Genomic DNA, 15,174 nt, shown 5'->3' on the forward strand with positions numbered 1-15,174 from the left:
ATAGCTTATAGGAAATTATTCTTCTGTTTTCTAAGGCAGGAGGCTATGCACCCGTGTCATCTAAAAGAGTGGCCCATGGTGCTATGGAGCAAGCCAAATCTTCATTGCAGTCCAGTTCTGTCATTTACCAAATCTGTGACCTCCAGAGAGCTGTTTTATTAATCTACCCCTCAGCTTCTTCATCTGTAAAATGGGACAATGATAGCCCTTCTCTTCCAGATTAGGCACCTAATGCAGAACCTAGTGAGATCTAAATATATATTAGCTACATCTATTATTATGTTTATAAAGACAAAGGATAAATGGTAGTCCTGTTTTGTCCCACTCAAAGCTGTTCTCTGAGCCACAAAAAGACTGTTTCAGCTGCATGCCAAGTTAACACATTGCAGTTAAGAAGGAAAAGCATTGCAGTTAAGAAGGAAAAGCATTGCAGTAGAGACTAGTCCGTGAACATCTTTGTCCTCACCATTCCTATCGCCTTCTTTTAAATGAAGGAGGCAGTGGGTTTCTTATATTTTGGTCCCCATGATTTTGCAATTTATAGCCTTGATAACCTGGCCACAGCTAATTAAGCCAAGGTTCGGGGCTCATTCCTTAGGCCGTGATGTGCAACTTGGCCTGTACCCTCTAACATGGCTTCTCATGAGAACTCTACCTAACAGAAAGTTCTGTGTTGAATAGCGATGAACGGATTCACTCCAACCTTCTCTCAGTGACTTTGAATAAAAGATATGCAGACTGTATAGCAGCCTAAAGAGTGGGCTCTGTTCCCTCGCAAATTTTAGCATACTCATTGAGAAGGGAGGGAGCTTTGGGGAGACAGTGAGAGAAGAGAATTTAAACATTGTGGGCAATTTCTTCTGCCCTTCCATTTGCTGTGGAATTTTCCAGCCATTTTATGTTCTGTGGATTTTTCATGCTTGATATGGTTGGTTTCTGGGATGTGTTTCAGTCAACATTGACCCAAAAACCATGCAGTCAGTTTTCTGTCTAAAAGCCAAAGCTGTAACCTCACTGATATTGCAGAAATGTTTCTATCACTTTCTGACCCCTAAAAGTGCATGTCTCTTAGATCATAGCTTTGCTGGTATCAAGATTACATTTTTAACAGTATAAACCTTTTACATATGCAGTAGCAATTAGAATGCTCTCCCCAAGAGGAGGACATTCTCTGAAATCCCAAGTAGGAGTGAACCCAGAGTAGCATAGCATATCTGCTAACTTGATTCCATCTGTCTTTGTTGCAACATGCTCACTGAGCATATGCCCCTAAATGAATATGAGATGAAGACAGGATCTGTGGTCCCTCCCGCAACATTGATGGGGTAAGTTTTTTTGCTAGGCTGAGTGTGGTTCAAATATTTTTGTACAATATATATCCTAAACACAAACAACTACTTCGTCTGTTGCCCACCCAAAAATATGCTGATCTGTTTTGTGCTGAAGTATGATCGTTCGTGTTGGCGTCCTTGAGAAGTAATGGGATAAGGTACTTGAAGGGCGATTTAAGAGCTTTCCAGAGCAGCCCTTGGCTTTTCTTAATTTTCCAGTTTTGCAACAACTTTTAGAGCCCAATCCTCATGTAAGCTTTGGATCCACTGGAATTAAAAGCTCAGACTTTATAGACAAACAGACCTGGGTTTGAATCCTATTTCCATCACTTGCCTTTAGGAAAGTTGCTCAACTTTTCTGAGTCTTCATTTTCTCATCTGTGCCCACCCTCTTATTGCAGTGAGGCTTGAGTGGTATTCACAGCCCTCGGTGCAGTCACTTCCATACATAAGAGCCACTGTTGTTGTTAACATAGTTTAGAAGTTAAGAGAGTCACAGGCGTCGTAAACCCTCAGATAGTACCAGTCATGAGGAAGCAGAATTCACTAAGCGGTGGGTAGGAGGGTGCACAAGTAGCCAGGTATACAAGTAGCCGGGAGCTGCTGAGTGTCCCAGGTCTCCATGAGGATCAATCGCTCAATAGCTTGGATAGTCTGCGTGTGGATAACACATCAGCAAGGAATAGAGACAACGCCTTAAAACAGACTTTCAGCATTTCTGGTGTCGAAAGGTCCTAACATGAGGTCTCACTAAATTCGAGATTTCATCAGCCTGAGAAGAACTCAGGGTAAAATAAGAGTAGTAATACACACCCCTTTTAACCTGGGTTAGAATGCGTTTATGAGTGTGAGGTGATCTTCAAGTATAAAGCCCTATGTGGATGTAACATGATAGCAGATTATAAATATTAATAGCATTTTAAGTCAAAGATAACTATTTAGAATTGTGAATAATAGAGAAGAAAGACTGTGGGCATCACTGTACCTCCTACCCTCAGTTAAAACTTACTGAAGGAACTGAAGGTTAAACATTCTTGATAACCATTGTATTTCTGCAGTGTCTCAGAAGTATTACTAGAAGACAAGCATGGGATTTAGAGTTAAACTAACCTTGGGTTCAAATCATAATGCTGCCACTCCTTGACTGTGTGATGGTGGAGAAGTTATTTCACTTCTCTAAGCTTCAAATTCTCTATCAGAAATGTTTTTTCTGTAGCTATCTGCTTAGGAACAAAGAGAAAGGCAGCTTCCTGCATGACTCAGCTTCCAGCTTATTATTATTATTATTATTATTATTATTATTATTATTGTTATTATTTGCTTTTGACAAAGTGAACTGAGGTCCCAAGTTTTTATTTCCCTTTCACAGAGTCAAGTTTATTGGTATAATCCTGCTAAGAAGTACTTAAAACAAAAACTAGCTATTCACAAACAAGTCAAATATATACCCTCTAGAGTGTGTTGATAACGTGACTTAGTACATGAAGAGAGAGCATGGTGTTCAATTGTGCAGGTCAGGTGAAGCTAGTCTTTCATGCCTCATCACAAGTAGCAGATTTCCATTAAGAATTGGCAAGCTCTCAAAGCTCAGACTCTCCCAGAGCAGAGCAAACAGGCAGATGCGAATACATGCCTATCCCAGCAGCATCTGTTTATGCCAGTGGGGAGAAACCATCCCCTCCACACACGGTTAAACAAGTCAGTGTGCAGCCTACCTCCAGGGCCCTTCTCGTTTTGCCTGGGAATGTCCTGGGTGGCTTGTAGGAGATGAGGATGCAGCTTGGGGCAGCCAAACCTGGGGCATTTCAGAGGCAGAGTATAATTCATGTGGCAATACCTGGCTCTTTATGGCCCGTAGTTTTACACCTACCATCCTCTGCACACAGAAAACTTTAGGCAGAAATGGAGCATGCACAACCAGGTCTGCATATCCGAGAGTGGTCATTTCCTTGCAAGGCGTGTCGCTTGACTGAGGGGACTAGGGGGCTGCAGAGGGGCTGGCAGATGTTTGGCTTTTGGTGCAGATATGAGCCAAATAAATTGAAAATAGGAAGAAGGAGTACATGACCTCACCCAAATTTTAATTCCCATAGAATAGTTTTTTGTTTGTTTGTTTTTAGCGTTGTATGCCTAATAGGGTAAATGTTATTCAAAAAATAGCCCAGGTGTTAGAAAGACAAAATAGTTGTTACCTTTAGGGAAATGGTTGTGAACAAAAGGGGCACACAGGGGGTGTCTGGGCCACTAATAATGTTCTGTTTCTTGATGTGGATTCGAGTTACATGGGTGTGTCACTTTATGAAAATTCATCAAGGGCCATCAAGGGCTCGGTGGCTCATGCCTGTAATCCCAGCATTTTGGGAGGCCAAGGTAGGCGGATCACTTGAGGTCAGGAATTCGAGACCAACCTGGCCAATGTGATGAAACCCAATCTCTACCAAAAAAATAAAAAATAAAAATTAGCTGGGCGTGGTGGTACACTGCTGTAGTCCCAGCTGCTTGGGAGGCTGAGGTGGGAGAATCACTTGAACCCAAGACGTGGAGGTTGCAGTAAGTGGAGATCATGCCACTGAACTCCAGCATGGGTGACAGAGTGAGACCCCATCTCAAAAAGAAAACAAAAACAAAAGGTCTGGCACGGTGGCTCACACCTATAATCCCAGCACTTTTGGAGGCTGAGCAGACTAGGATCACCTGAGGTCAGGAGTTCGAGACCAGCCTGACCAACATGGTGAAACCCCTTCTCTACTAAAAATACAAAATTATCCGGGTGTGGTGGTGCATGCCTGTAATCCCAGCTACTCTGGCTGAGGCAGGAAAATCGCTTGAACCCGGGAGAGGGAGGTTGCAGTGAGCTGAGACGGTGCCCCATTGCACTCCAGCCTGGGCAGCAAGAGCAAAACTCTGTCTCAAAAAAAAAAAAAAAAAGAAAGAAAGAAAGAAAATTCATCATGCTGTATACTTATAATCTGAGTATTTTTCTTCATGTAGGTTATTAAAAAACAGCAGAAATATTCTTCTCTCAAAAGAAATTTCTATATTTTAAAATATGCATATTTATACTATACATATATTTATATTTAAATTATATATATATATTTAGTAAGGAGGGGAATACATATAACTTGATACAAAGTCTGCACTAAGTTAGAATATATCTAATGCAAATTAATACTTGAGTGCATATTAAGATATATCAAAATTTAAAAATTGGTCAAGGTTTTTAAGTGCTTTGACAGTTACAGTAAGGTAAGGTTCTACATAAAATAACATGAGTATTGTCAGCTTCCACCTTACATTTCCAGGAATAGTCATTTTTCATGCATTCATTATATTCTTTTCAGCATCATTTGCAGAGTTTTTGAACTTCTAAGCTGTACCACACAGAAATGCCATAACACTCATTTTGACTATTTCAACAAAGTATTATAACTAAGCCATTAATTGATCCACTAGCTTTGCTGTTGGGAAAATTTACTTATTTTGTAAATACAGCCACATTGACTTTTAAAGTCATCTAAATAAGCTTGTTATTAAATAAAAATGTTTTGAACCTTAAAACTGCTTTAAATGATTTTAAATAAATGGTTTATATTTTTTTCTCAGTAGTAATAATTTTTCTGAAGTATTTGCTTATTGTTTTTAAGTGATTTCTTTATACATATATATGTATATTTACATACTATGTGTATATATTAGGCAATATTAAATGACCTGAAGCTTTTGATCAATTCTAATAGAACAGACAATTGCAATTCTAAATTAGCTCTCATAAAATGGAACATTTTGCAAGTAGCTAATAAATATTTGTTGATCAATAGTTATACCTTGAATCCTTTATCTATTAGAATTTTCCAGACAACAAACTCATATTGTTTCTCCTTTAGGTTCATTTGGATGTATCAACATAGTAACTCTTGTTACAAAAATATTTTAAGTTTAAAATCAATTATTTGGTTAAATTCTGTATGCATATTTTAATAGTTAATAGACAAGGTAAAATCAGCTCACTTCCATGTGTTCAATATTTATTGCTTGAAAATTAAGGCTTATAAATTAGAGTATGCTAACTATGCCTTTTTGTTATAGATCCTCAGCGCTGTTGGTTGTATTATGGAATAGTTAAGTATAGGCTCTGCTCTCCAGACACCAAAGGTTTAACTCAGCTCTGTCTTTCACCAGGCTTGAGCACCAAAGGGGAAGTCAGAGAAAAAGTAACAGCAAGTGAAATAAAAATAGAATTCTCAAAAGCAATAGTTGAAAGACAAGACCACAGAATGGTATGATCAAAGTGTTGAGAGAAAGAGAAACAGAAATTGAGAGTTTGAGACCAAAAGGTTTTTCATTAAAGCAATCTCTAAAGGATTTACTTAATTTTTTTAAATAAAAGAAACCCAGAAGAAATGTCTGAGGTGTAAGAAGTATTGATCAAAGACATTAATGAAGATATAGGTTAAAGGTTTTTAAAACTGTGTAATAAAATATTAACATCAAAATTAATGTGTTTTAAAAAGGAGTAAATGAAACAATTAAAAATGAAGTCTGTTAGAAAGAGAATAATCAAAATTACAGTTTTTTAAGATCCTTGTATTTTAAGAGGATTTAAAAGAGTGATTAACTTTAGACTTTCTTAAGTATGTAAGATAGAATTCCAAAGTGCCCACTTTTTAAATTTTTTATTATTTATTTTTTGAGACAGACTGTCATTCTGTCACCCATGCTGTAGTGCAGTGGCATGATCTTGGCTCAGTGCAACCTCCACCTCCCAGGTTCAAGTGAGTCTCCTGCCTCAGTTTCCCAAGTAGCTGGGACTACAGGTGCACGCCATCACGCCTGGCTAATTTTTTGTATTTTTAGTAGAGACGAGGTTTCACCATGTCGGCCAGGCCTATCTCAAAGTCCTGATCTCAAGTGATCCACCTGCCTCGCCCTCCCAAAATACTGTGATTACAGGTGTGAGCCACCACACCCAGCCTTCAAAGTGCCCACTTAATATTAAATAATATATAACTTCAAAACCAGAATGGGGGAGGAAATGGATTAAGAAAACAAATATAAATCATCTATTCAGAAAGACTAAACAATATAAGACAATAGGAACAAGTCTGTCTTTCTTGCTTTTACATGTGTGCATGTGTGTGTGTAGTCTAGATACCTAGATAGTTAGATAAATAGATATAGATAGATAGATAAACAGATATAGATAGATAGATAGATAGATAGATAGATAGATAAACAGATATAGATAGATAGATAGATAGATAGATAAACAGATATAGATAGATAGATAGATAGATAGATAGATAGATAGATAGATAGATAGATAGATGATAGAGAGAGAGAGAGAGAGTGTGTGTGTGTGTGTGTGTGTGTGTGTGTGTGTGTGTGTGTGTGTGTTTAGTCCATGGCAGTGGACTAAATATACTAGCTAAAAGATCTTGTCAAATTAGTTTAAAAAGAAGCTAAGTGGTTTTTTTAAGACACATCTGAAATAAGAGGACTCAGAAAGCCTGAATGGAAAATAATGAAAAGAGACATAATATGCAAATAATAATTAAAGGAAAAACCGGGTAACTATAATAGCAGGTAACAAAGACTTCAAAAACCTTTTTAGAAGGTAGAAAGGATACTGAATTATGGCAAGCGATTCATTTTGCCAGAAGAACTTAGCAATTTTAAACTTGAATTCGCAAAATACTCTCAAAATATATAAAGCAAAAATTGACAGAAGTGCAGGGAGAAATTGATAACTCAAATATCATAGAAGAAAATGTGGCATATTAATTTCAGAACTGATCATTTAGGCACACGACAATAAGTAAAAATAGAGGTTTCCACCAATATAATTTAAAAACTTGATTGACATAAAGTCTAAACAAAATAAAGAACACACATTCTTCTAAGATATAAATGAAATGTTTAAAACATTTATGACTTTCTAGGGGAAGGTATCTTAAAAATACTTAGAACTGAAGGACAATAAATAATCCTATAAATAAATATTCATGAGATGCAAGACAAAGATAGTTGTAGTTATTTTACACTTTAAATGCTTAAGTAAAAAATGAGTTAAGGCTAGAAACTCATAGCTAAATTCAAATAAAGTAAAAGTATGTGATGATGTAAGAGCAGAGCTTAATGAAATAAAACTTGAAGTTATAGTAGGGAGGATCAACATAGTCACAAGTTAGTTTCTTGAAAACAGAAAATCCTCCAGCAAAATTGGTTAAGAAAAAAGGAGAACACCACAAATAATCAATACAAGAAATGAAAATGGAGATAATTATAGGTAGCAGACACTTTAAATGACAATAAGAGAATACCATGAACAAAGCTGGCCAAAGCATTTGAAAATTTAGGCAAAATGGATGAATTCCATCTATAGTATATATGTATCAGAATATTATTTTTATTGAAAGATATTGTCACTGGGTATCGAGTTCTAGGTTGACAGTTCATTATTTTTTTCTTTCTTATTTTAAAGGTGTGGTCCTACTGTCTTCTGGATTGCATTATTTCCTGTGAGAAATCTGTCATTGATATGTTTGCTCCTTTATGGGCAATTGTGTCCTTTTTCTCTGGCTGCTTTTAAGAATGGCCTTATGATATACCTCAGTGTAGTTTCTTCCATTCATGTTTTAATTTAAAGCCATTATCTCTTCAAATATTTTCATCACTCTCCCAACCCCCACTTTTGGAAATTCCCATTATACATATTGTACCACTTGACTTTGCCCCACAGCTCATTGGTGCTCTTTCCTTTTTTCTTTTTTCTTTTCTAGTAGCTTTTTTTTCCTCTGTTTTTTATTTTGGATAGTTTCTATCACTGTCTTCAAGTTATCTAATCTTTTCTTCTGTAGTGTCTAATCTGCTGTTAGCCCTTTCCAGATATTTTTTCTTTTTTTAATTTTTTTTTTTATTTCAGTAGGTTTTTGGGGAACAGGTAGTGTTTAGTTACATGGAAAACTTCTGTAGTGGGTGACAACCCACTCTTTGGGTTGTCTGTTTACTCTGCTGATTACTTCTTTTGAGGTACAGAAGCTTTTTAGTTTAATTAGGTCTCATCTATTTATCTTTGTTTTTGTTGCATTTGCTTTTGGGTTCTTGGTCATGAAGTCTTTGCCTAAGCCAATGTCTAGAAGGGTTTTTCTGATGTTATCCTCTAGAATTTTTAGGATTTCAGGTCTTAGATTTCAGTCTTCGATCCATCTTGAGTTAATTTTTATATAAGGTGAGAGATGAGGATTCAGTTTCATTCCTTTGCATGTTGCTTGCCAATCATCCCAGCACCATTTGTTGAAAAGGGTGTCCTTTTCCCACTTTATGTTTTTGTTTGCTTTGTCGAAGATCAGTTGGCTGTAAGTATTTGACTTTTTTTCTGGGTTCTCTATTCTGTTCCATTGGTCTGTATACCTATTTTTATACCAGTACCATGCCATTTGGTTGACTGTAGCCTTATAGTATAGCTTGAAGTCACGTAATGTAATGCCTCCAGATTTGTTATTTTTGCTTAGTCTTGCTTTGGCCATGTGGGCTCTTTTTTAGTTCTGTATGAATTTAGGATTTTTTTTCTAGTTCTGTGAATAATGATGGTGGTATTTTGATGGGAATTGCATTGAATTTATAGATTGCTTTTGGCAGTATGGTCATTTTGACAATATTTATTCTACCTATCCACAAGGATGAGATGTGTTTCCATTTGTTTGTGCTATCTATGATTTCTTTCAGTCCTAGCCAGAGCAATCAGATAAGAGAAAGAAATAAAGGGCATCAAAATCAGTAAAGAGGAAGTCAAACTGTTGCCGTTCACTAAGGATATGATTGTATACCTAGAAAACCCTAAAGACTCATCCAAAAAACCTCCTAAATCTGATAAATGAATTCAGCAAAGTTTCAGGATACAAAATTAACATACACAAATCAGTAGTTCTGCTATACACCAACTGCAAGCAAGCTAAGAATCAGATCAAGAACTCAGCCTCTTTTATAATAGCTGTTAAAAAAAAAAAAAAAAAAAACTCAAGAATATACCTAACCAAAGAAGTGAAAGATCTCTACAAGGAAAACTACAAAACACTACTATCTTTTGTATTTTTGTTTCAGTTTCATTGAGTTTTACTCCGATCTTTGTTATTTCTTTTCTTCTGCTGGGTTTGGGTTTGCTTTGTACTTGTTTCTCTAGTTCCTTGAGGTTTTACCTTACATTGTCTGTTTGGGCTCTTTCAGACTTTTTGATGTAAGCATTTAATGCTATGAACTTTCCTCTTAGCACCAACTTTGCTGTATCCCAGAGGTTTTGATAGGTTGTGTCATTATTATCATTCGGTTCGAAGAATTTTTTAATTTCCATCTTGATTTCATTGTTGACCAAATGGTCATTCAGGAACAGGTTATTTAATTTCCATGTATTTGCATGGTTTTGAGGATTCCTTTTCAAGTTGATTTCCAATTTTATTCCACTGTAGTCTGAGAAAGTACTTGATATAATTTCAATTTTCTTAAACTTACTGAGACTTGTTTTGTGGCCTATCATATGGTCTATCTTGGAGAACGTTCCATGTGCTGATGAGTAGAATGTCTATTCTGTGGTTGTTGGGTGGAATGTTCTGTAAATATCTGTTAAGTCCATTTGTTCTAGGATATAGTTTAAGTCCATTGCTTCTTTGTTGACTTTCTGTCTTGATATCCAGTGCTGTCAGTGGAATATTGAAGCCCCCCAATATTGTTGTGTTGTTGTCTATCTCATTTCTTAGGTCTAGTAGTAATTATTGTCCAAATTTGGGATCCCCAGTGTTAGGTGCATATATATTTAATATTGTGATATTTTCCTGTTGGACTAGTCCTTTTATCATTACATAATGTACCTCTTCGTCTTTTTTAACTGATGTTGCTTTAACATCTGTTTTGTCTGATATATGAATAGCTACTCCTGCTCACTTTTGGTGTCCATTTGCATGGAATATCTTTTTCCACTCCTTTACCTTACATTTATGTGAGTCCTTATGTTAGGTGAGTCTCTTGAAGACTGCAGATACTTGGTTGAATTCTTATCCATTCTGCAATTCTGTGTCTTTTAAGTGGAGCATTTAAGTCATTTACATTCAACATTAGTATTGAGACATGAGGTACTCTTCTATTTATCATGCTAGTTGTTGCCTGAATACCTTGTTTTTTGTCACCGTGTTATTGTATTGTATGCCCTGTGAGATTTATGCTTTAAGGAGGTTCTATTTTGGTGTATTTCAAGGTTTTGTTTCAAGATTTAGAGCTCCTTGTAGCAATTCTTGTAGTGCTGGCTTTGTAGTGGTGAATTATCTCAGCATTTGTTTGTCTGTAAAAGACCATCTTTCTTTCATTTGTGAAGCTTAGTTTCACTGGATACAAAATTCTTGGCTTTTAATTATTTTGTTTAAGGAGGCTAAAGATAGGGCCCCAATCCTATCTGGCTTGTAGGGTTTCTGCCGAGAAATCTGCTGTTAATCTGATAGGTTTTCCTTTACAGGTTACCTGATGTTTTTGCCTCACAGCTCGTAAGATTCTTTCCTTTGTCTTGACTTTAGATAACCTAATGACTATGTGCTAGGTGATGATCTTTTTGTGATGAATTTCCCAGGTGTTCTTTGAGCTTCTTGTATTTGGATGTCTAGATCTCTAACAAGGCCAGGGAAGTTTTCCTCAATTATTTTCTCAAGTAAGTTTTCCAAACATTTAGATTTCTCTTCTTCCTTGGGAACACCAGTTATTCTTAGGTTTGGTCATTTAACATAAGCTCAAACTTCTTTGAGGCTTTGTTCATTTTTTAAATTCTTTTTTCTTTTTTTCTTTTTTTTTAGTTTGAGATGGAGTCTCACTCTTTCGCCCAGGCCGGAGTGCAGTGGTGCTATCTCGGCTCACTGCAAGCTCCACCTCCTGGATTCACGCCATTCTCCTGCCTCAGCCTCCCGAGTAGCTGGGACTACAGGCGCCCACCACCACACCCAGCTAATTTTTTTGTATTTTTAGTAGAGATGGGGTTTCACCGTGTTAGCCAGGATGGTCTCGATCTCCTGACCTCATGATCCGCCTGCCTCAACCTCCCAAAGTGCTAGGATTACAGGCGTGAGCCACCGCGCCCAGCCTTAAATTCTTTTTTCTTTGTCTTTGTTGGATTGGGTTAATTCAAAAGCCTCGTCTTTGATCTCTGAAGTTCTTTCTTCTACTTGTTCCATTGTACTGAAACTTTCCAGCGTATTTTTCATTTCTCTAAGTGTGTCTTTCATTTCCAGAAGTTTTGATTGTCTTTTATTTATGTTATGTATTTCTCTAGAGATTTTTTTGTCCATATCCTGTATTATTTTTTAAATTTCTTTAAGTTGGTTTTCACCTTTCTCTGGTGCCTCCTTGAGTATCTTAATAATCAACCTACCGAATTATTTTTCTGGCAATTTGAAGATTTCTTATTGGTTTGAACCCATTGCTGGCGAGCTAGTGTGATCTTTTGGGGTGTTAAAGAAACTTGCTTTGTCATATTACCAGAATTGTTTTTCTGGTTCCTTCTCATTTGGGTAGACCATTTCAGAGGAAAGAGCTGGGGTTTAAGTCCTGCTGTTCATTCTTTGGTGCCATGGGGTGATGCCTTGATGTGGTGCTCTCCCCCTTTCCCTAGGGATGGGGCTCACTGAGAGCTGGACTGCAGTGATTGTTATTGCTTTTCTAGGTCTAGCCACCCAGTGGAGCTACTGGACTCTGACCTGGTACTGGGGAGTATCTGCAAAGAGTCCTGTGACATGATCTGTCTTCAGGTCTCTCAGCCATGGATCCCAGCACTTGCTCTGGTCGAGGTAGTAGGGAAGTGAGGTAGACTGTGTGAGGGTCTTTAGTTGTAGTTTTGTTTAGTGCATGGGTTTTCTTGAATGTTGGTTGTGCTAGCAGTTAGTTGGCCTCCAGCCAAGAGGTGGCACTTTTAAGAGAGCATCAGCTGAAACAAGCTTGTCCTAAGTTTGCCTGAATAGGTATTTGGGCTTCTCAGGTGATGGGTTGGACCATAGCGCTCCCAAGAGATTGTATTTTCTGTCTTCAGCTGCCAGGGCAGGTAGGGAAAGACCACTGGGTGGAGCCAGGATTAGGCGTGTCTGAGCTCAGCCTCCCCTTGGGCAGGGCTTGCTGCAGCCACTTTGAGGATGGCGGTGTGGTTCTCAGGCCAATGGAGTTATGTTCCCAGGGGGATTATGGCTGCTCTGCAGTGTCATATAGGTTTCCAGGGAAGTGGGGGAAAGTCGTCAGTGACTGGCCTCACTCACTTCCCACACAGCCAGCAAGGCCAGTCTCACTCCCACTGCACCCCACCGATAGCACTGAGTTTATATCCAGGTGCCGGTGAGCAGAGCTGAGGTCTTGTCCCAGACTACAAGCCTCCCAGCTGAGAAAGCAAGCAGGACTTTCAGGCCCCACCTCTCCCCACCTGCTGTAGCTTCTTTGCTCATATCTACACTTTCTGTTCACCCCCTACCCCACCCCTGCCCCAGATTGTGCCCAGAAAAATTCATATTTGGTCAAAATTATTACAAAGTTCAGCTAGAAGTTTCCTTTTCCCTGTTGTCTTTCCCCAGTTCCACTGGCAGCCCTCCCCAAGAACCTCTATGAGGTAAAGTCAGAAACGGCTTCCCTGGGCACCAGGAATGCCTACAGGGCTCTTTCTGCTGCTTCTTCTAGTTTTATATTTCACTGGGCTCTCTAAATTCATTTCAGCTCTAGGTAAGGTTAAATTCTTCTCCTGTGATCTGAATTTACATGTTCCCCAGTGAGGGTATGTGTTCAGAAGTGGACTTTCCCTCCTCACGCTTTGGGCACTCACAGTGTGAATTTCACTTTGTTGAGTGTAGATATTTTTATATCCTATATTATGCTTAAGCTTTGTTCTGGGATGAAATTAACTTATTGAAAACAGTTGATCCTTTGGAGACTTGCTTTTAGACTTCATGAGGTGAGACCAGCACAGCCCTTTTCTAGGGCTGATTTTTTCCCAATAATGTTATAATTTCCTTTTGAGTACTGTACCTAATACCCTGAGTTACAAGGTTTTGCACTCAGACTGGTGGGAACATGAATTATTCTTAATCTGTGTGAGTAGGTTGTTCCCTCAGCTCCTTTCAGGTGAGTTTTCTCTGACCCAGGTTGTTTTATTACACACATGAATTTATTGGTACCTTGCTGAAGACTTAAGGGACACTTCTGCAGATCACTTAAGTTTTCTCTCTGTACAGCTCTCTCCTGTCTGGTATTCTGTTCTGAAGACCCTAGACTACCAACTCTGTCTCCTCAAGTAAGGAGCTCACCAGGTTCCTAAGTTTCCCTTCCCTGCACTGAGACCCAGAAAATTTTATCAGGCAGTAGGCTGAAGCAATTGTGGGGTTCACATTGTTTGTGTCTGTCTCTCAGACATAACTGCCCTGCCCTGCCTGATCTCTATGACTGTTTTATATATTTTGTCCAGTCTTTTAGTTGTTTCAGACAAGAGTAAGTCAAATCCTGCTACTCCTTCTCGGCTGGAAGTAGAAGTTTCTAGTCTTATGATTTTTAACTGTTGTCAGCTAATTAAAATGTAAAGTTTTATAAGGACTTCATAAGTGTATGCAAATGCTCCTAAGGCTTTCCTGGATGTCAGTTTAGGCCCCCAGGCTTCAGGATTAATCTTTAATTAATACTCTGAGTGGAGACAGGGAAAAGAAGGGTGAATGAAGTTTCTGTGGTCTAAGAAATCCCAATAGACAACTTCTGGAGAAATGACAAGAGAGGGACATAAGCAATCAAAAAGAAGGGCGAGGCCGGGCACGGTGGCTCACACCTGTAATTCCAGCACTTTGGGAGGCCGAGGCAGGCGGATCACGAGGTCAGGAGATTGAGACCATCTTGGCTAACACGGTGAAACCCCGTCTCTACTAAAAACACAAAATTAGCCGGGCATGGTGGCGGGCGCCTGTAGTCCCAGCTACTCGGGAGGCTGAGACAGGAGAATGGCGTGAACCTGGGAGGCAGAGCTTGCAGTGAGCCAAGATTGCGCCACTGCACTCCAGCCTGGGTGACAGACAAAGACTCCGTCTCAAAAAAAAAAAAAAAAAGAAAGAAAGAAAGAATGGGGAGGGGACATATGCATCTCCATCTCAACTCTCTAAAACTAAGACTCAGACAGAGATTTTGGTGAAAAATGTGTGCCTAATAAAATACTTGCTCTAAAAATTAGATTCTAGATATTATCTGAATATGTGCCAGTCACTATTCTAAGCATTTTACATATGTGGATGTATTTAATTCTCTGACAACTGCATAAGTAAGCTATTATCATCTCCAGTTTATGGATAAAGAAGCAGGCTAAGCAAATTCCCCAAGATCCCATAGTTAAAAAATGGCATGGCTCAGATTTCAATCCAGGCTCTGTAACTAATATATTATCTGCTAAGAATATCAGTCTTATCATGTTTAGTTCTCTGGCTTAAAGTCCACAACATAATAAAAGTGAATTGTAGATGCTGAGATGAAGATATTAAATGTAAATACAACAAATACAAGGAAAAATAAAAACTGACAATTTGTTTAAAAGGGCAAGGACATAGAATCCTCTGAAATAGACATTGCACTGAGAAGTCTATCACTAGCATATTAAGGAATGAAGACTCAGATAATGAACTTGCTGTTAAAAAAGCAAACCTCTGTTAATAACTTTTAATTAAACCTTTGATTATATTTTTAAATGTTTTTTATTTCTTAAAAAACAGTTTTGGGCTGGGCACCGTGGCTCATGCCTGTAATCCCAGCACTCGGGAGGCCGAGGCAGGTGGATCACCTGAGGTCAGGAGTTTGAGACCAG

At 38.3% G+C, this 15,174-nt stretch overlaps 1 protein-coding gene across 1 annotated transcript in view, besides 1 other annotated feature; it reads left to right on the top strand.

The window, feature by feature from the left end:
- Positions 1–15,174, top strand: part of CNTNAP2 (contactin associated protein 2) — a 2,304,198-nt gene that overhangs the window by 1,938,548 nt on the left and 350,476 nt on the right. The gene's annotated exons all lie outside the window — the stretch shown is intronic.
- Positions 5,447–5,496: an enhancer, noted in NCBI's record as "active region_26798". NCBI's record gives its function as "activates an Ori minimal core promoter by ATAC-STARR-seq in GM12878 lymphoblastoid cells {active_cell/tissue: GM12878}" and the evidence as "EXISTENCE:reporter gene assay evidence [ECO:0000049][PMID:35858748]".

Source organism: Homo sapiens, chromosome 7, assembly GCF_000001405.40.
Source record: "Homo sapiens chromosome 7, GRCh38.p14 Primary Assembly".
Taxonomy (NCBI): domain Eukaryota; kingdom Metazoa; phylum Chordata; class Mammalia; order Primates; family Hominidae; genus Homo; species Homo sapiens.